General features: G+C 36.2%; 1 protein-coding gene and 1 non-coding gene across 13 annotated transcripts in view, besides 1 other annotated feature; one reads left to right on the top strand and one right to left on the bottom strand.

Moving 5' to 3' along the window:
• The window catches only part of SLC10A7 (solute carrier family 10 member 7), a 267,960-nt gene that overhangs the window by 108,271 nt on the left and 137,631 nt on the right, over positions 1-22,058 (top strand). The window contains exon 6 of one of the 12 annotated variants that reach the window (XM_017008690.3): positions 1,521-6,472. The exons of the other annotated variants lie outside the window; for them this stretch is intronic. Coding sequence (XP_016864179.1) covers positions 1,521-1,577 — 57 coding nt within the window. The 3' untranslated portion in view covers positions 1,578-6,472. Of the gene's footprint in view, positions 1-1,520; positions 6,473-22,058 lie in introns of those variants that run through there. 12 annotated transcript variants of the gene reach the window in all.
• Positions 4,982-5,087, bottom strand: MIR7849 (microRNA 7849). Its single transcript, NR_107003.1, has one exon. It is a non-coding gene; the product is annotated as a microRNA 7849 (primary transcript).
• Positions 14,240-14,773: an enhancer, noted in NCBI's record as "NANOG hESC enhancer chr4:147320049-147320582 (GRCh37/hg19 assembly coordinates)". NCBI's record gives its function as "activates a minimal SCP1, AML or CMV promoter by ChIP-STARR-seq in naive H9 embryonic stem cells {active_cell/tissue: H9 hESC(naive)}" and the evidence as "EXISTENCE:reporter gene assay evidence [ECO:0000049][PMID:30033119]".

Raw genomic sequence — 22,058 nt, 5'->3', positions numbered from 1 at the left:
TAGTATTTACATTTGAATAAAAAAGCAAAAGATACTGTTTAATATTTTCATAATATTTCTGTTATAGGTTAGTTATTTAGTGAATCTTTAATTCATCCTGAGTAGTAAATTAAAACTTATTAGGAATAAGAACCTGTAGTGAAGAAGCAGCTAGAAGGTAAAATACTGAAAATAGAAAGCAGGAAAGGAGACAACAAAATGATTAAATATGAGTCTATGTTGGTAGGTCCCTTTGGTTTAGGGACATATTGCCTTACTTATCTCACTAGTATCTGAAGGTACTACAATATTATATGACAGAATGTAAAAGCATTTTAATACACAATTTTGGTTATAAGACATTAATAAATTACGTGAAACCTATTTTTAAAAAACAAGCTAAAGAAGTAAATAATGATGTGTGTTTGAATGACACACTTAAAATAATTGGAATTAAACTGTCTTAGAATCTTAAAGGTATCATCTTTGGCTATCTGAGAAAATCAGCTTATTTAGAAAATCAGCTTATGTATTATTCTACAGTGATCCTAGATAAATGAAGTTTTCCCACATATATTTTTCCATAAATATCAATTTTTAAAGGATAAATGAAGTTTTTAAAGGAATAGAGAAGTTTAGGAAGTCCTTTGGAATCTCTTCTAATTCAATCTGGTTGAAATTTTAAAAAATTTGTTTGTATAAGAAATACTTATTGAGTATTTACTGTGTGCCTGGAACTAAGCTAGACATTGGAAATGGAGTGGTGAACAGCCAGATATGATCCTTTTCCAGGTGAAATTTACATTCAAATAGAGAGGGAAACAGACAACAGATATAATAATTACATTATAATTAAGTGCTATTCAGGAAATAAGCAGAGTAAGTAAGAACAATAGATAGTTCAATTTTGTTCTAGTTCTTCTCCCCCAACTGCTCCCCATTTCTCCTCCTGTTCTAAGATAATTTTTGTATCAGAGAATTCAGCCTTTAAATGTTTTGCTTAAATCATCCATATAAAATTGTGTAACACAGATAAAGAATGTATAAATCCTTAAAAATGTATTAATCCTTTGCTTAAATCCTCCATATAAAAATGTGAGTCATTGACAGATTAGCTGAAGTCAAAAATTGGCTGATGTTTATGTTGATATACATAAAATTTTAACTTAGGTCATGGTAGGCAGGCTAAGCTAGAAGAACATCATTTTAATAACAAACTATAACAATAACAAGCTTAGTAGGCATATTTGTGTGCTTTATAAATGTTATCAGTCATTACAGTTAATGGCTTTCTTTCTTTGCACCCAAAAGAGGCACTCATTGCAGAGCAAGTAGATGTTGTTATTTCTGCTATATACAATCAATACTAATGTTTGAGGGAGGTGTATGCTATAAAGAATGACAACATTAATTAGTAACTTGTTTTAAAATTATCTATTGATAAGATAAAGGAAAATACCTTTGAGAAAGTCATGTGAATTACTCCCCATATCTTTTAGGCCAAGCAATTATATTCTATCACGTAATTTTTTTTTGGCTAGATGGACAGAGTGAAGATAAAAGACAACTGTAGAGATAACAGCGTACTTCACAGCTGACTGAAGCAGGTGTTAGAAATGCAGATGAAGTGTATTGACTAAAGACTATACAAATTCGAAGTGAAAATGCCACTGGTCTGCATGCAGTGTTCTGCACATATGAAGTTTCAGGTAGTTAAATTATTCATTTTATTGTGTGAAATAGTTGAGGAGTTAGGGAAAAGGTGCCTTTTACATTTAAACTGTTATTTCCCTTCTTCCTTTCATCTGCACTTGACAAGCAAAACGAGCTTCATTATGTAAGTTTTATTCCAGCAAATGCATGACTTACATCTCTATATTTTAAAAAGTACACCAAGAAACAGATCACCTATAGGCTTCAGTGACAGTATAAAACAAGAGAAACTAAAAATTATTTTTCTTCTTCACTTTTAATATAATGAAAACACTAAAGACGAATGTGAAAGTAGCTATTTAATCATCATTGCTATCACCCTCACCATGAATTATTTTTCAAGTGCCTATATGTACATTACTCTCCTTCAAACATTAGTATTAATTGTATACATTAGTAACACTAATACTACATTAATACTAATTGTAAACATTAGTATTAATTAGCATACACCTCCTTCAAACATTAGTATTAATTGTATGGGTTAGAAGAGTTTAAAAAATAAGCCATTCCTTCTGTCTTATAATTCAAAAGTCCTGAGTATTTTATTTAAAGACAAAACAGATATTTAAAAATATTTAATATGGAATTTTAAAGCAGAGTCTTATTTTAAGGGAAATGTCACAATTCCTGGAATTATTTCTTGTCTTATTTGGCTCATTTTGTTTTTCCATCTCATAGTCTGGCTGACTTTGCTATAGGGCACCACGGTGGTCTGTAGAGGTTGACATGAGTATAAAAATACCTGCTTTTGGGAAACTCAGATGACTTCAAGACACTTAAGGAAGTTTGACACATATTTAAAAGGAAAACAGAAGCAATCCTCATTTTAAAGGTGAAGAAGGCCGGGCAAGGTGGCTTACACCTGTAATCCCAGTACTTTGGGAGTCCAGAGCAGGTGAATCATCTGAGTCAGGAGTTCGAAACCAGCCTGGCCAAAATGGTGAAACCCCATCTTTACTAAAAAAAACAGTACAAAAATTAGCCAGGCGTGGTGGCTCATGTAATTCCAATTACTCGGGAGGTTGAGGCAGGAGAATTGCTTGAACTGGAGAGGCGGAGGTTGCAGTGAGCCGAGATCATGCCATTGCACTCCAGCCTGGGTGACAGAGCAAGACTCTGTCTCAAAATAAATACATAAATAAAGGTGAAGAAACTATGAACAAGATATGCCTTAAAAGATCTTTTAAAACAATCTTCATTAAGATTCAAGGTTATGGAACTACTGAAATTTTGACTCAATGTACAAGTGTGTAGGTTTAAAATATTTTTCTTTTGGCTCTTAGGACAAAGGGCTTCAGAATCCAACAGGCTTGGATTGTAATCCATGCTTGGATGAATGCTAGTTTATCCATCCTTGATAAACTAGGTAACTTTGGACAACTTATTAGCCTTGATCCAAATTTCTCTAAATGTAAAATGAGGATAATAATAATACCTATTCTTAGGGATCTTTGTGATATTAAATTTAAAACAGTCGGCCTGGCTCATTGTAGGAAGTCTATGTGTGTCTACTTTCCTTTTTATTAGAGCAGTAGCTTTCCTTGCCTAAAATCCTGCCTGTGCTATATTCTCATTTTAATTTAATAGGACCATTTTAAAAGCTGTAGAGCTGCATTTGAGTGTTGATATAGACTTTTTGTCAGTTTTAGTTGGCTTTGTAGTTTGAGATTTGGGGAAGAGTTTTGAGATATATTGTCTTTAATTGGCAGACTGATATAGGGAGGAAATTATTAGATTTGGGATCAGAATATCTTAGTTTATTTCCTGACTATTAATACTAATGTTAGAACTGTAGACAAATCATCTAACTTATTAGGCCTCTATGTTCTCATCTATATAGTGGAGAAAAATAATACTACCTTACCTTTCTAACCTTGTTGGATTACTGTGAGAATCAGATGATATAATGTGTGAGAGATACTTTGTGATTATTAAATGTCCTTAAAAACTAAGTAAACTATTAACATCTGCAATTTATCATTATTGAATATATCATGTGTGTCTCCTTCCCATTGGAAGGTACAATTATGCTATGAAATGTTAAGATTAATTGCTTATTTCCACAGCAAAGGATATCACTTTTTGTGATCACTTACTAGTAAATTAAGCCAAATAATTTGCTAACTCAGTTATGAAATTGATCCCATTAAAAGTAAACACATAACTATCCAACACAGCATTAATTCTACCATATACATTTATAGCTTAAAAATTTATGTAATATATAGGACAACGGCTCTATTTCTCACGTTCTTGATTAGTTACCACAGCATGGCTTAACCCAGCATAAAATAACTCTTGGTTCTTATCAGTTCACAGATGTGCTATTCCCCGATTTTAAAATTAAGGTATAATTTACATAGAGTAAAATTCATCCTTTTTTAGTATACAGTTCTGTAAGTTTTGATAATTGTTTAATATATAATGACCACTATAATCAAGATGTAGAACATTCCATCACCCCCAAAGTTTCCCTGTGCCCTTTTGTAGGCAATGCCTCTATCCCCCTCCCTCCCAGCCCTTGGCAACCACTGATCTGTTTTTTTATCCCTTTAGTTTTGCCTTTTCCAGAACACCCTATACATTGAATCATACAATATGTACTTTTTTGAGTTTGACAGTGTGGCTTTTTTTTTTTTTGATGTGCCATATTCAATAGCATTTTTTTTCTATTTGGAAGCAAAAGTGTTATTGCACTTACTTTTTAGAAGAGATTTCCAAAGTTGCATTTTTTTTGGAGTGTGCTTTTTATTTACTGAGAAACACTGGTTGATGTTTTTGACTTCTATGTTTATAGATAGCTTGAGAGTACCTAAGTATTCCCAAGCCTTTGCCTATACATACCCATTAAAAAATTTCTCCTTCTATGTTTCCTATATATTGCAAACAAAGTTAAATTACCTTTCAGAATATCTGAAATATATTTGTTCCCCCATTTTCGGTTCAGAGTTTTTGTTTTTTAATAACTATAACCCTTGAATGTGTGAATTTACTATGCCTCTTGGAATTTCCACTTAGCTGCTGGATTAACAACCAGTACTGCCATAATATGTTGAAATTTCTAGGAGGCTGAAATTCTGAGCCATGAAGAATGCAATAGAAATGATTAACATTAAAGCTGATGTCACCCCACTAAGGCTTAAAGTGGTATAGATATTAATAGATAATAAAGCATTAGATAATCTGAGAACAAGAGGGTTGATATTCCTACAAAGCTGAGAATTAAAGGATGCTTCAGAGAAAAAAAATTGACTTAAAATATTCCCTCCATTAGTGTCCACCAGTCAACTTTATATTGTTGAACATCAGGCCCAAGATCAACAATTGTCTACTTCCCATTTTCGAAGTAGTCAGTTGTTGGCCTTGAGTCTGATGTTCAACAATATAAAGTCTCAAGCTCTTTCCATCTCTCTGCTCCATTATTCTTAGCTGTTGGTATTTTTTTTGTTTTGTTTTGTTTTGTTTTGTTTTTTGAGACACAGTCTTGCTCTGTCACTCCAGGGTTCAAGCAGTTCTTGTGTCTCACCCTCCCAAGTAGCCGGGACTATAGGTGTGCACCACCACGCCCAGCTAATTTTTTGTATTTTAGTAGAGACAGAGTTTCACCATGTTGCCCCCAGGGTGGTCTCAAACTCCTGAGCTCAGGCAATCTGCCTGCCTCATCCTCCCAAAATGCTAAGATCATAGCTGTGAGCCACCGTGCCTGGCTAGCTGTTGGTCTTTTATCCTCATGCTTTGTTACTTCATGGTAGTGAGATGGCTGTTGAGGTTTTAGGCATTGTATTTTTGTTCGAGGTAGGAAGAAAGGGAAAAGGCACCGCTGATATGCTATCCTGTTATTTCTGTCCTTTTATATGTTAGAACAAGCATTTCCAGGAGGCTCTCAGCTGACTTTCCCTAATGTTGCATTGGCCAGAACTGGATTACTGCTAGCTGTAAGGAGAGGAGAGAAATTGAGTATCTATCCAAGGGAACAGAATTTGGCTTAGAAACGTGCTTCCTGACTGACGTTTTTCCCTTTATGGCACGTGTAGGAAATGATAACATTTGTTGTACATCCTGAGGGTGAACAGAATGCTTCTGCTAATCTAGGCCCAGTCCTTCTGCCCTGAGAGTTAAGGGGAATCAATATCTCGGCTATCTGTCATGTATTTGAGGCACATATTACTTGGAAATGTGACTGGTTTAGACTAACTAGACTAACAGTGAGTCATATCCTAGATTGGGCATATTGTTGTCCCAAAGAAAACAGGGTTCTGTTAACATATAAGAGGGTGGGAATGGCTATAAAGTAGGCAGTTAATAGTCTGGCACAGTAGCTGTTTGTTTAAAGATTATCTTCAATTTTAGAATATGCTGTATCTGGATTTGAATAAATACGTATTTGTTACTCTCAGAAGTCACCTTTTCCCCCTTTAATAATGAAACTTCTGGAATGTGGGGGAAATGGTTGTTCAGTGTATATAAAGTTTTAATTATCTGCTAAAGTTCTAGAAATCTTTTGTACAACATAATGCCTATGCTTGATAATACAGTATTGTGTACTTCAGAATTTGTAAAGAGCGTAGATCTCATGTTACATGTTCTTATTACAAAGAGCAACAATGGGATACAAGGAAACACTGAGAAATATTGCATGTGTCCGTTAACTTGATTGTGGTGATGGTATCATGGGTGTTTTCAATGTTCAAACTCATAAAATTGTACACATTAAATATATGCAGTTATTTGTATATCAATTATACCTCAATAAAACTGCTTAAATATTGTGAAAGAGGATTAGAGTTGGAAAGTTGACTTTTCTCAGGTATACTTTCAGCCTCACTTGCCATAGCTTGACTTCTATGTACAATGAGATATCCTGGGACTCTGAAAAGATAAAGTGAGGGGTAGGAAAGATCCCATCACTAAAATAAGTCAGGTTTATATATGAGAGACCAGAATCACACAGTAAACACTTTTTTGTTGTTGTTGTTGTTTGTTTTGTTTTTTCAGATGTAGTCTCACTCTGTTGCCCAGGCTGGAGTGCAGTGGTGTGATCTCAGCTCACTGCAACCTCCACCTCCCTGATTCAAGTGATTCTCCTGCCTCAGCCTCCCAAGTAGCTGGGATTACAGGCACCCACCACCACGCCCAGCTAATTTTTGTATTTTTAGTAGAGATGGGGTTTCACCATGTTGGCCAGCCCGGTCTCAAACTCCTGACCTTAGGTGATCCTCCCGCCTCTGCCTCCTAAAGTGCTGGGATCACAGAAGTGAGCCACTGCGCCTGGCCACGCACAATAAACTCTTAAGGAAGGATCCTAGGAACTAGGCATTGAGCAGATGGCTGGTGGTTGGCTTCTTATATGTCAAATTGGCAAGAATGTTCTGGCAAATCCTTAGGTCTCCAATATAATTAAACAGCACGCTCCATTTGAGTTGTTCATAGCAGAGTGTGGAGATCAGCTTTCAGGACATGGCAAGGCTTTCCCATGCAAAGTACCAATGAAGAGCTTATAGATGAGGACATGGAACTGTCAGTCTAATATGGTCCAAAATAAATAGATGGAGTGCCTAAGCTAAAGCAGGAGATTGGTTTATATATTAGGTATTCAGCGATAGGCTTAAAAGCAAAATTTTAAAAAACACAGAAATATAACCAAAATTGCTCTAGAGCCAAGAGTTCCTTAGCCTAGGGACCTGAGATCCCAATAATTTATAGAAACTTACATTGAAAATTCTATAAAATTCTATAATTGTATATGGATTTTCTTGGTTTTTTAATTTTGTTTGTTTTGTTTTAGAAAGAAAGGCTGTAGCTTTTATTTAATTTTCAATGATTAAGAACTGAGAATCTACTGAATGCTTAACTAACCCAGACTGGAAGTAGTTTTCCAGATCTTATAAGTTACTTTAAGAGAAGTACAGCTCCCAATTGTTCTATGATCTGATATAATCTATTTAAACAGTAATCTCTCTTTGCTATGCAAATGCTTTACAGTACTTGTCAAAAATGGCTTTATGGAAAAGATATCCTTTTTTCTCCAAAATACCTGCTAGTCTTGGATCCACAAATTCAGTTTTTCTCTTGAAGAATATAAAATACATTCTATGGGATGAGCAAAATTAGGCATCATCTTGTAAGTGGTATTGCAAGGGAGCCAAAAAAAAAAAACTCTTCCTTCTGCCTCCAAGATTATATAGCATTAAGAGTTAGTTAAAATAATTAAATGCTTAATTATTTGCTAGGCCTTCCAGAATTTGAATATCCAAGGTATTTGTACATCTACCCAGTTAGACTTTTAATCATAACAAAATTTTATATATGGTAGACAGGCAGATAGATAGATAAAAAAGAATGAGTTTTTCTCAATTATAAAACAATTCTCAGTTCTTCATTGCCTTCATAGTTACTCCTGTCCTTTAGATGTGTGTGTTTAAATAATTTTTTCTTCATGGATGAAGCTGACAGCATTTTCCAAATTGATTTTCTATCTGTAATATTCTAACTGTATTTCAAACCTCATTAAAGCCCTTTTCATCATTTCTCTGACTTCATTAGTTATGGCAGCATCTCAAAATCTGGTTTTCTCAGTAAATTTCATTATTGTGGTGCCAATTTATTATAAAATGATCAGAGAAGTAGGAGGGAGTGAGGAGGAATTGACATATAAGGACAAAGTGAAAGATTAGGACTCTTTGGCCTAGAAAGTAAAAATCTATCAAATCATGAATGGTATGGATAAGATGAATATGGACCAAGATGGTAGATCTGGAAAATAGAAAGTTGAAGGGGCATTCTGGAAACTTTCTTAAAATATAAGTAAAGCCACTAAACAGAGGCAAAAAACTGATTTTAAAAGGCTTTGGGTGAATTTATTTCATAACCAGTGAAAGACTAAACTATAGTAAATCTTCCTGTAAACTGAGCAGATCCTAATTGATTTTAAGTATTATTCTGATAAACATGATTTCTTGTTTTTTATCATGTTCTCCAGGTCACTCGTTAGTAACAGAATTTTGCACTGGTTAGGCGAGATGGGACCTGACCTAGAAAGATAATTCCTATGCTCTTTTCACATGAAATGTACAAACAAAACTGTCAATAACAAAAACCACTGCAATGTATATCAGTAAAGACTTCATCTTTAGTTTATTTTTACAGTGAAATATCAGGGAAGTGCTTTTATATCCAAAGTTCACGTAACAAAGACGCAACACATAAGCCAGGTGCGGTGGCTCACACCTGTAACCCCAGCACTTTGGGAGGCCAAGGCAGGAGGATTGCTTGAGGCCAGGAGTTCAAGACCAGCCTGAGTAACATAGCAGGGCCTGTCTCTACCAAAAGTAAAGAATTTTTTTAAAAAGAAGCAATATATAGGTGAGGATGTTTTTATCTTTAATATATAAACAACTTTTACAGATCAAATAGAAACATATATACCCATAGAAAAATGAACAAAGATCTTAAACCAGTCACACACACACACACACACACACACACACACACACACACATAAATGAGCAGCAAACCTATGAAAAGATGTACAACTGTACCAGTAATCATATCAGTGCAAATAAAAATATTTTCCATCTATAAAATTAGCAAAGTTCAACAAGAGTCACAAGACCTGTTGTTGGCAAGAATGGAAAGACATACAGATTCATACTGTTGGTCAAGCATGGTGGCTCAGGCCTGTAATCTCAGCACTTTGGGCGGCCGAGGCAATTGGATTGCTGGAGTCCAGGAGTTTGAGACCAGCCTAGGAAACCCAGGGAGACCCCGTCTTTACAAAAAAATTAAAAACAAAATTAGCCAGGTATAGTGGTGCTCTCGTCACCCCAGTTAGTCAGGAGGCTGAGGTGGGAGGATCACTTGAGCCCGGGTGGTGGAGGCATGCCACTGCACTCTAGCCTGGGAGACATAGCAAGATCATGTCTTAAAACAAAAACAAAAACAAAAGCACACTGTTGGTAGGTGTGTGAATAGGGATAGTCTTTCTATTTGGTAATTTAGCAATATGGATAAAAATTGAAAACATTTAGAATAACAATAGCAATAATAGTAACATCTATCAAAGCCATCATGGACTTGGTACTCTGCTGCACACTTTGCATGTACTGTATTCTTTCCTCACAATAGCTATTCTTACTCCTATATTAGAATTGTGAAAACTAGGACTCAAAGAGTTTGGATTTTCTTCCCCCTTAATAGCTATAATAACAGCTATTAAGTGGCAAAGTCAAGATTTAAACTTAACGTCTTAATAACTCCAGATTTCACAATGATAACTGCTTTGCTGTTCAGCTTGCTCTTTTTGGATCAGTTCCATTTTTAGGAATTTATGTCAAAAAGACAATTATCAAGCGCCCAAATTGCACATATAAGCATGTGATAGGCTGTCATAGTTAGGTGTGAAGTATACATGCAGGTATATGAAATGTAGCCTTGGGTAGTTAGCTGGAACTGAGACCACTCAATAAACCTGGGAACCTGAAAGGTGTCCTCTCACGGAAAGCACTACTAGAAAAACTCTAATCATTGGCCAAGATAAGCAAAGTGTCTTCTTAGTCTGGGACTTTCAGTGGGAGAAAATAAGTTTCCTGGGGGAAAAATGGAAACTCCATGACTGTGCTATAGGTGGTTATGGAGTATGGATTTATACTGTTTTCATCAGATTAGAAACTCAAGTCCAGAAATTAATGTTAAAACTAGTTCCAGACAAGAGTTCCAGAAAGAAAATGGCTGAGACGTTTTCAGAATTACTACAACATGAATTTTGCAGGTCCCAAGCAGGGTAAGTTTAACTAAATCTGCACCTGTATATATCATAGTAAAACTTCAATATAACAAAGACTACTACAATAACTACTACTAGCAGTAATAACAAACAGATAGTGGATTCTTTGTGGCAGGTACTCTTCTAAGCACTTTATATATACCAACTCATATATTTATAGACATTAACTCATTATTATTCTCATTTTCCTGAAGAGAAAAGGCACAGAAAAGTTAGAAAATTTTTGCAAGACTACACTGCTAGTCTGTGGTCAAGCTGGGATTTGAATTCAGACAATCTGGCTCTTGAAGCTGTGCTCTTAACCACTACATACACTGTTCAAAGAGAAAATCTTCAGGTGAAACAGAGAGAAAAGACAACTTTCTAAAAAACAACAACAGCATAAACAACAATTAGTGTGACAGCTGGCTTCTCTAAAGCAGTAATAGAGGCCCCCCAAAATGGAATGTCTTCAAGGCGAAATGGAGTTAGAAAACAATTGCTAGCCTATATTATTCCCAAGTAGACCATCATTCAAGAATGAGGGTGAGCTCTTCTGCTACTTATTCCTGTCCCCCTGCCCCCTTTTTTCCCCTTTCCTCTTCTGTTTTTTAAAACATGTTTTTGGTTTCCTTCCCTCCCCTTGAGGCAGCCAGGGTTGGAGTGGCCTGTGGGGTCAGGGCTGAGGAAGCAGTTAGGACCAAGCGGGTGTGTTGGGCCCAGGAGGCGGTCAGGGCTGAAGAGGTGACTGGGATGAAGTCTCAGGAGGTGGGTAAGAGTAAGGAGGCAGTTGGGGCTGATAGGGCCAGTAGATTGGTTACATGCAGGAGGTATGAGGAAATAAGGGTAATGGGAGCCTGACTTCTCTCTGTTGAAGAAGGGAGTTATGAATATGGAAAGGGAGAAGACTAGCATACATCCTGTGGTGCTGACTGAAATTAGAGGTATCAGTATTGCCTGATGTTTTAAAAATACATGTAGATAGATAGATATAAAATAGATATAACAGATATTGGTATGTGTGTATACACATATGTATCTTTCCTACCAGTGTCCACTGAAAGAGCCTAAAATCAGTTTCACTCCAGTAGCAATAAGTGTACCTAGCATGCTGGATCTTGGTTTCTAGATGCTATTCTCCACCAATGGGGTATCATGTCTGCAACTCACTCTCAATTAGGTATGAAGATAATAATTGAGTGTCTATATGTGTACATTTTTTGTAGTGGTGGTATAGATGTAAATTTTTATTCCATTTGAAACAGATTTAATACCTAATTATCATCTTTAATCTGGGTTTTAAAAATATAAAGTTTATTTTGATCTAATTATTAGCTTAGATGACCTATGAAAACTGAACAAAAAATACTGATTCAAAGCACCCCAAAGTACAAGTTACACTTCTATATTATTTGACTTACTATTTTCCATGTTATTTCTTCTCGATTTAATATATTTCAAGCATATGGAATCCACAGTGTTTTATAATGGGAAGATAGTGGTATTTCGAATCACACAGTCTGTGCTGCTCTGTGAATTTGGGCAAGACTCTTATCTCTTTTTGTTCACTGTTTCCTCATCCACAGGCAACTCAGGATTGTTCAGCAACCAACCTGAAAAAAAACATGAAAAACCTAGGCAGAGTTACTGGCGTGTAAGAGGCATGCAATAAGTGTTGCTTTCCCTCATTTTGTTCTTTCTTTATTCCGTCTCTCACCAGTGTGGTTATGCAGGTCTCCTGGGCATTGGGAAATACAAAGCTTAGTAATAAGGAACCATAGTAAGAGGGCTGTGTGTTTGCCCCTTTGTTCATATCTGGCCTCTCCTTTTGTATTTCATTTTTGCCTTCATTTCTGTAATTAAGTCATCCATCATCATCCAGAAGATGAACCAAGTCAGATAGTAACCATAATTTGGGGAGGACAGTGGGTATAGGAGGATTGTGAAGCACTAAGGGTTACTAAGGGATCAGCAGCCAGTGTAAATCAGGAGATTAGAATAGAGAAGGTCTTTCCAACCAGAAGATTTTATCGCCTGCCGTCAGAGTAGCTTATGATCTCTCAGAAAAATACTGATTGATCATTGCTGAATGACTTCAGCTGATGCTCCTCTCTGATTCCTTACTCAGCTAGCAAATTTTAGCTGTTCTGAATCTTGGGGTCATCCAGTGTTTGCAGTTTCTTTTCTTTCATTGATATCTTCATTTTTTACTTTGTTACTTTGGGAGTATTTTTCTTGTTGCTAATTTTCTTTACACTTTTATATGTAAGTAGATATTCATTCCCTAAATGTCAACATACATTTTATGCAATTTTTAGTGCATGCAGACTCACTTCTGTTTATTTTGTATTCTTCTTTTCATGTCTGCAAGACCAGAAAATTTGTTCTTTAAGTAAACAATGTATCTGTAGGGAAGGTAGAAACCCTTATCGACACACTATTCATTCACGTCTGTCATCAAATGGTGAGTATGTTCAGAAGGACCTGGAGCTTAGCCTACTTTTTTGGTTCCTTGGAACCAAAAAAACTTGTGGAAAAATTCCACAAGTCTCAGATGAAGGTTCTGCTCCCTAGCAAGAGCTCAAGTGCTGAAATTCAGAGCCCATATCCTTAGTTCTATTCTAATTACTACCACAGTGCCTCACATCTAGTAGATGTTCAGAAAACGTTTCGATAAGTCACTCAGTAAGTAATTCGAGATCCTGCTTTTCATCCTAGGTATTTGTACTAAAGCCTAGAAACCAGAATAGGATGACTGTGAACCTCTACTGGATCGTGCTCTTATAACACCGCCCGAGTACCCCTTTAGCCACTGCCCTATTTTATGCTCTTCTTTCAAGCAAAATTTGAAACAAGTGTTCCAATTTCTACTTTTAACAGTGCCAATCCCACCCCATACCCAATTTAATTAAGCCTCCCTAGCATTCTACTCAGCCTTTAGGCTCTACCCTTGTCAAGGTCACCAGTGACCTCCATCTTCCAAATCCAGTGGTGATTTTTCTGTCCTCATCTTACAAAAACACTTGGCAGTAGTAGACAATATTGATCACTTGCTGCTTGTAACATGTTTCTCTTTTCATTTCCATGATACCTCTTTCTCCTGGGGTTTTTGTCTACTTCACTGACTGCTCCCCTTCTCAATTCCCTACATAGGTTCTGTAACCTCTAAATGTTAGAGGGTCTCAGGCCTGGCTGTGGGTCCTGGCCTTTACTCTGTCTACAGTATCTTCCCAGGAAAATTTATCCAATCATCCAACCCTGTGGTTTGATGTAACATCAAAATGCTTGTTCTGTGCCAATTGATATCTTCAACACTGATTTTTTTCTTAAATGCTGGACTCATACATCAAAATGCCTACGTTATGTTCCATCCTAGATATCTAAAAAGTATTTCAAGCTTACTGTGCGCAAAGTAGAAGTCTTGATCTCACCATCCTTAAACTGCTTCTTTCTCTATATTTCTTAATTCAGTGAATGCCTCTCCCCGTTACGTGGTCTTAAAAATGTTCCTTGATTTCTCTCTTTCCATTGTCTTCCCCTCCCCGTATCTGATTTATCAGAAAATGCTATCGGATCTATTTTCAAACTGTATCTTGAGTTTATCAACTTCTCTTCATCTTCACTATGACTATTCAAATTCAAGATGCCATTAACTCATTTTGCCTCTTGTGCTGTAATTATGCCTGTTGTGCTGTAATTATTCCCTAATTGGTCCACCTCCTTCTACTCTAATCCCCCTGAAATTTTGACTCCACACATTGGCTGTAGTAATCTTTAAATAATATAAACGTTTACATTGTATTCCCATACTCTCTCCCAACTCTTTCTTGGTGTTAAAAACCTTTCTTAACTTCCTATTGCCCTTAGGTTAAAATCTACACTCCTTATCCCAACCAGTAAGCCCTGTTATCTAGCTCGCCCTTCCTCTGTGGCTCCACCTTATGCTACACCCTCCACAGTCAGCTCACCACAGCAGCAAAGACTTTCTCCCCTCAAGCATTTCAAGCCTGTTTTCTCCTCAGAACCTTTGAACTAGCCACCCCCTGTGTCTAGAACACTCTTTCCTCCGATCTTCACTAGATTTGCTCCTCTTGTCACTCCAGTGTCAGCTCAAATGACAGCTCTACAGTGGCCTTCCCTGAATACCGCCCTAGTGCTTTCTATCACATTACCCTGTTTATTCTCTTATCAGCTAGGTTACCACTATTAAAAGTTAATCTTGTTAATTTCCCCATTGCCTGTCAATCTCCACTAGAGAGTCGGGTCCTTGTCTGCCTTTTTCACTCCCGTTCTCCTGCTGCTTACACAGTGCCTGGCACCTAGTATGTGCTAAATATCTGTAGAATAAATGAACCATTTTTCTAGGATTCAGCTAGAGCAAAAACCCTGGGACTTTGGGAGTCTTACCAGTCACTGGTCTGTGATACCTAGTCACATGCAGAGTTTCTCTTTTCCCACTTTGGCTATTTTTTCTCTCCATTCTTTTCTCCTTTTTCAGGATGTACTTGTTGTTTGTTTCTGCCTCTCAAAGCCTTTACAAAGCCACATTTTATTCTTGTCTTTTGACATCACCCACAGATTCTTTTCTGAAGAATAGTAATTCCAGCATGCTGTGGTCCATAAATCTGTTTCTTATTATGTCAAATTAGAGGACTTCCTGATCACTGGTCCTAGGCTTGTCTACTTTTCTTATAACAAATATTCCACGGTTTGGTAAGAAGTTGATGGAATATAGATTCTCCTTTGGTGTTTCTGCTTTTCTTGATCTTAATTTTTCTTCTCTGACTTCTTTTGTGATGAAGAATCTTTTTGATACTACTTCTCTAACTATATCTTTAACCAGAAAGTTAACTAAATATTTAAGCTATAATGGATGCCACACATTCATTTTCTGTGTATGTATAAATGTGTGTATATACGAGTGTATGTAATTATTAACTTTTTTACATGGCTCTTCCTTATATCCTAATTGATACTTTATTGCCAAAATAAATGTCAAATTGTAGGATACTGACTCATGTAAAAAGATTTATCTATTTTTTAGTACACAACAGAATATTTTTCCCTATTCATACAGTCATTCACATGCATATCCACATATTTTCAGAAATGTCAAGACGCTCCTAAGAGTTATTGTGTTCTGATTACATGATGTTGCAGAAAATTCCAATGCTACGTCAATAAATCTTTGGACACTTGTGACATTATATATACCTGGGCTGCCTGAAGAGCGAACTTTGCTTTACAACTTCATGTCTTAAACTTCTGGTCCTCAGAGTCTCTGCCCAAAATGAACAACTTCGTTTGTTATTGCTTTATCCAGTTTTTCTTTCAGCTTTAGTTTCCACTCTTGTTTTGTATTGTTAAATCATACCCCAGAGAATTCCTAAAGGTGTTTCCTCTGCTCTCCTGTTTTGAAGCCACGTTAAATTTACTGACTGTACAAGGACTACTTGGGCATCCTGTTGCAGTTCTTTATTTATTGGCTCTTGAACAACTTGCAGACTTAATGTTTCAACACTGCTTCAGTGTGAGTGGACTAGCCATAATGAAGGAATTGTGTGTGGATGATCTCACTCTGCAATTTAAAGTTCACGAGTGACATTAATTAGAAGTCCCATTAAACAGGATATGAAGGAAAGCTTCAAGCTCCCCAACTGCTAAAAATCCTATGCAAACTATCCCTCGTGCAGACCAGAACATAGTTATGGTTTCTTCAAGCTCAAGGATTTTGTCTCCACAGCACAAATGAGAAAGGTTACCAGTGATCAATTATATACATTATTGGGGATGTGTTTCTAAAGCAGAACTATTTTATCCTGAAATTCCTGGATAATTTTGGTGTTGTTTGAGTTGTTAAGTTGGAAGAAATACCCAGATGTCTGAAAACTTTTCTGACATTATTTTAGTTGACATATAGTGTGCAAGTGGCCCTGCTTTAAAATGAGCGTTATTTAATACACAGTAAACCATCTTTTAGTTCTTACATCGGTCTTAACTTTATTAAAGTCAAAAGTAATGTTTGGGGAGAGTAAAATCGTAAATATCATAAATATGATTCATAAATACTTTAAAAAAACAACAGAATTCCTAGTTGAATAGAAATTCCACTTAGAATTGTAGTTTATCTTTGAAAGAAAAACTTCTGGGATTGAGGGTAAACTGGTTTTAGAAAAGAAATCAAATGTTATGGAATTTGAAAATCTAATTTGGCATATATTAGATTAATGGCCTGTAAAAGCCGAAAGTCTGAATTCAGTTAACAGAGTGTTTGACTTAATTCTCTTCTTTCTTTTTCTCCTTTTCCTTTTGTTATTTGTGTTTAAATCTTGGTGACTTTTCTTTGTATGGGTTTAAACATATTGTACTGAATTTCTAAAGGGGCTGGTCCCTCAATGCTTTTTTTTTTCAGTGATTTTAAAGGAAGTAGTGGTCCGGAATTTGTGTGTATGTGCAATTACTCTTTTTCTGAATATATATAATCCCACAATTTTACCAAAGTACATATTTTTTTGCTTGCAAATAAGCATGGATTTAAAAATTTGGTACATAAAGAGTAAGGTTGGTAAGGCCTTTTCATGTATTTGTATCCTAATATGTTTTTATTTTTAAAAAATGTGCTGCAACTGATTGAACTAAATTTGATTTTGACTTGTTCCACACAACTGTAATTCCTTCAAAAACATGTCAATATGCAGTATATTTAAGGTGATGTCAGCAACAATTCCTTCTTTATTTAGGGTAATGTAATCTAAAACTATCAACCTTTTCTACTTTCATGAGCTTTTGACTTTCATACCATAATGTAAAAAATAATTTATTTGATTTAAAGCTTTTGGTAAAATATCCATCACTTGAAGGAAAATTTTTATTTAGATATTCTCTTTCCACTAAAATAGACTTTTCTATGAGTATCTGTGTTTCTTTCCATGTTGCAAGCCCTTTGAATTACTTTGGTTTAATTAGTTATTCCTTTATTTAAAAGTTAACATAATGGTCCCATTTTGTAGTCAAAGACTTGAACCAAGCAGGGTGATTCAGTTAGGGAACAAAATGTCAAATGATACCAGAATCTAGTTACCTTATCAATCCTCTTCAGATAGACATGATTAAGCAACCTTTTATATAATATGTCTGAGCCAGAGAGAAGAAATAATTAATATTGGAAGGATGTGGGAGAAAAACCTCGTAGATTGTCGTATAATGAGAGCAATCCATGATACATACATTTAAAGAAAGAAGAATGATCAGTGTCTCAAATTCAAAGGCTAACTTGGCTTACTTTTATGAGGACATCTCATTGATTTTCATGTATGCTAAGTTCTATAGAGTTCAAACTGAACAAAGAAAAACAAATGACATGTATGGTTGAATACAAGTACTATGTACAGAGGTGACTTGGGGGATAGAAAATATATTGAAATATTGAACAAACAAAGTAGTAACACTCCTCTAGCAAGACATTCATGCTGTGTAATTGTGTAATATATATATATATACTCGTTTTGGTTTTCATTGACGTTATTACATATTAATACTAAAAAGCATGTCCGATGTTAGTGTATGTTGGGAGCAAATATATGTGTCAGCACCTGACTCCAGTTCACTCACAAGCAGCCATGTCATTTATTTGTGCAGTAAATTGTTCTATCTATTAGGTGCACCAATATGAAAAGTGCTGGGGAAGGAATGGTTACAAAAAATATTCAGATGTAAAATCTGCCTGAATGAACTTCTGCTTTAAAAAGGAAGCCATGTACACATAAATCTATGAAATACAAGATAGTAGCAACTGTGTGGGGGTTTTATTTGTTTGTTTCTTTTGAGACAGTGTTTTGCTCTGTTACCTAGAATGTAGTGCAGTGGCATGATCACGGCACACTGCAGCCTCGAACTTCTGGGCCCAAAGCAATCCTCCTGCCTCAGCTTTTTGAACAGCTGGGACTATGTTCTGGCACTATGTTAGCCACATTGCCTGGCTAAGTTAAATTTTTTTTTTCTTTTTTTGTAGAGTTGGGGGTCTTGCTATATTGCTGAGGCTGGTCTCAAACTCCTGTTCTCAGGCAGTCCTCCAGCCTCCACCTCCAAAGGTGCTGGGATTATAGGCATAAGCTACTGTGCCCAGCCAAAACTGCATTTTAATAGAGAAGCATGTAATAGCAGGAGAGGTGACATGGAAACATGGAGTGAGAGTTCAGAGGAGAAAACGGAGAATATCAAGGAAGGCTTTATGGAAGAAGTAGAAATGTTGTTTGGAGAACAATATTCCCTTTTAATGTTTCTTGTAGCTGAACAAAGGTCATGTATTTCTAAAAAGGCATGAGTTTTTAGGAATAGAAATTATTCAATTTATACCATATGAATAAGAATATGGAGAAATGTGATCCCATGGGTGAGAAAAAGGACTCAGAAGAAAGATATACTTGAATCTTTTCCAATGTCTTCCATATTTTCATTTGTTTATGTGGTTCATGTTTATTGTGTGTGTACATGTTTGGACTCTGTTTGCTCCCTAAATCAGTATACAGTATTGCTTGAAGATAAAAGTGTGGGGCTGGGCACGGTGGTTCAGGTTTGTAATCCTAGCACTTTGGGAGGCCGAGGCGGATGAATTGCCTGAGCTCAGGAGTTCGAGAACAGCCTGGGCAACATGGCAAAACCCCATCTCTACTAAAATACAAAAATTAGCCGGGTGTAATGGTGTGCTCTTGTAGTAGTCCCAGCTCCTCAGGAGGCTGAGGCATGAGAATTGCTTGAACTCAGGAGGCTGAGGTTGCAGTGAGCCAAGATTGCGCCACTGCACTACAGCCTGGGCAACAGAGCTGTACTCCCTTGAAAATCTTTTCATGGCAAGCTCATCATACCTTGGCCATTTCTTTGTTGTAGAAAGGAAAAATAAGAAACAATACCTATTGATTTTGTTATTTAGTCACAGCACTGGTAGATAAAAGATTTAATGAGGTAGGATGTTGAAATAAAGACTTAAATCAGGTTTTTATTTATGTTATAACCATGGATTATGAGAATTCGAAATCTAGGGCTGACCTTGACCAGTCCCCAGAGTCGGTGATATTGGCCTTACATATCAAGTTCAAGAAAACTTCCAATTGTGCTGATTAGATTTCCTGAAATAATACAGAATAATACTGACTCTGTTTAGATTCCCATATTTTAGCTATATTCATTGAAGTGGATATTCTATGGGTCTTTGAAACAATTTTACCTTAATTATACATAATTTTTAAATGAGATTTTAAATGTGTTTGTACTTTGAAATTGAAGTCAGGAGCTATCAGGCCTACTCTGAATGCTATAGAGCACTGAATTTTCAAAAGGTTCCCAGAATAATTGCTCTTATTGGTAGGTGCCTGTATATTCCCTTCCCCTAAAGACTAGTTTCATACATTTTATATTCAGATTATATTTACTATGGATTTTGATGGAACTTCATACAGTATTTGGTAATAATTTATCCCAATTTCAACTTTCCAAATTCACTGCTTGAGTTGGATAGGTAGCAATGTATCTTGAACTCTTTTAAGGTAGCCTTTCTTTCCTCTGTGTTTTATAGAAATTACTCAGTATGCCATGCACTCATTCATTCAAGAAGAAACATTTGTTCATTTATTTGTTCCCAGTGCCAGCACAATGTCTATTCCATAGTGAACAGGGTACTTTCTGTCTTTATGGAGGTTACATTCTAGTGTGGAAAGAAAACATTAAGCTACTGATTATGTCAAAGTTGTTAACCAGAGTGTAAAGTATAAAGAGATAATGTAGTAGAAGGACTACCTCAGTGAATTCCACCTCCACCATTTACAAGCTCTGTGATCTTGTACATATTTCTTAATCTTTCTAGGACTCATTTTCACATCTGTAAATGGAGATAATGCTAATAAGCTCATGGGGTTGTTATAAAAGCTAAATTTTAAAAATGCATGTAAAGAATGGAGCATAATGCCTAACACACAGAAACACTTAGTAGCAATTGACTTTTTTTTTTTTTTTTTTTTTTTTTTTTTGAGACAGGGCCTTGCTCTGTCATCCAGGCTGGAGTGTGGTGGCATGATCACAGCTCACTGCAACCGCTACCTCCTGTGCTCAGGTGACCATTCCACCTCAGCCACCCACCACCCTGCAATAGCTGGGACACAATTGACTTTTAAGCTGAGACCTGAACAATGGAATTTCCTAAGTGGAGAACATTTATTAAGAGAGAACACCATGATCAAGGGCCTTGAGGCAGGATTGCCCATGTTGTTTTTAAGGAACTAAAAGAAAGCCATTGTGCCATGAGCTCAGAAAATGGAGAGGAGAATTGCTTGAGATGAGGCTGAGGTAGTCAGTGGTAGCAAGGTCATGCAGTGTCTTGTGGGTTTTGTTAAGGAGGTATCAGGGCTTTACTCTAAGGGCAATAGGAAGAATTTTCACAAGAGAATGATGCTATTCAATTTGAGTTTTAGAAAGATTATTCTGGCTTTAGTATTAAGAATTGTTCAAAATCTTTCACCAGGCATTGAGGGGTCTGGCTCATCTCTTAAGGGACCTTTGGGGAAAAATATTGGTGGATATTTTTGCTATTGTCATCTTCATAGGTGATGAGCCCTGGGACAACAATGAGTGACATAATTGGCATTGCCAATTTTTTGTTTTTCAGTAAATCTGAAGGTCATAGGTATGTGAGTATGAGTGAGTGTGTGTGTGTATTCATCTTTGCACACATATATAAACATAAAAATATATACATGCACATATATAGACCCACACATATATACACATACATATATATCTCCCACTAGAGAGACAGCCAAGGTGTTTTTCTCTCTTTTCTGCCTCTGACCATTCAATCTCAATGTTTTTTAAATTATGGCACATAGGTTTAAGAGATAAGGGAGATAGAATATATTTACCAATCCTTTTAGTCTGTATGGTATAATGACATATTATCATGGTTACCCTTCATGTGAGAATGGGAACATATTATGTTATGCATAATGACTTTATAATATAGATTCACGAATTTCAGAAATTATAGAGATACAACAGAGTCCTGTGTTCTTTTGCATGTCATGATGAATGCAGCAGTTGTATGTATATACAAGAATAGATCATACTGAGCATCCCCTGAGCTCCGTTTGCAGACAAGTCGTATCTCCACCATGACAAAATTCCCACAAGATTTTGAATTATTAATGTCTTGGAATCTGCGGGTTTCAGCAGATATGTTCAGTGTTATTGATGGCAAACTTTATCTCTTTTATTCCTGAGACGCATAATGAAATAGGGAGTTCCTCAAATAACCACAGTTACTGTTTAGGGTAATTTTGTAGGGGCCAGTGGGCTTTTGCCTTAATGTGTATGAATATAATTTTTCTCTCTCACAGCAGAATGTATGGAAGATAGAGGGAGAATGAATTGGCACTAATTTATGAACCTCCAGCCTTCTCAGTGCAGTATACCTTGTGAGGGCAAGATGCTCTAATTGCACCTACTTCACATAATGAGAGCTTTTAATGACAATTACTGATTAGAGTTAGGGATGTATGGGGACTTTAGAGAAGATGTATTGACCTTGAGAAGACAAGACTTCATCTGCCTTTTA

Source organism: Homo sapiens, chromosome 4 (assembly GCF_000001405.40).
Source record: "Homo sapiens chromosome 4, GRCh38.p14 Primary Assembly".
Classification (NCBI taxonomy): Eukaryota; Metazoa; Chordata; class Mammalia; order Primates; family Hominidae; genus Homo; species Homo sapiens.
This window is presented reverse-complemented; position numbering and strand designations above follow the sequence as displayed.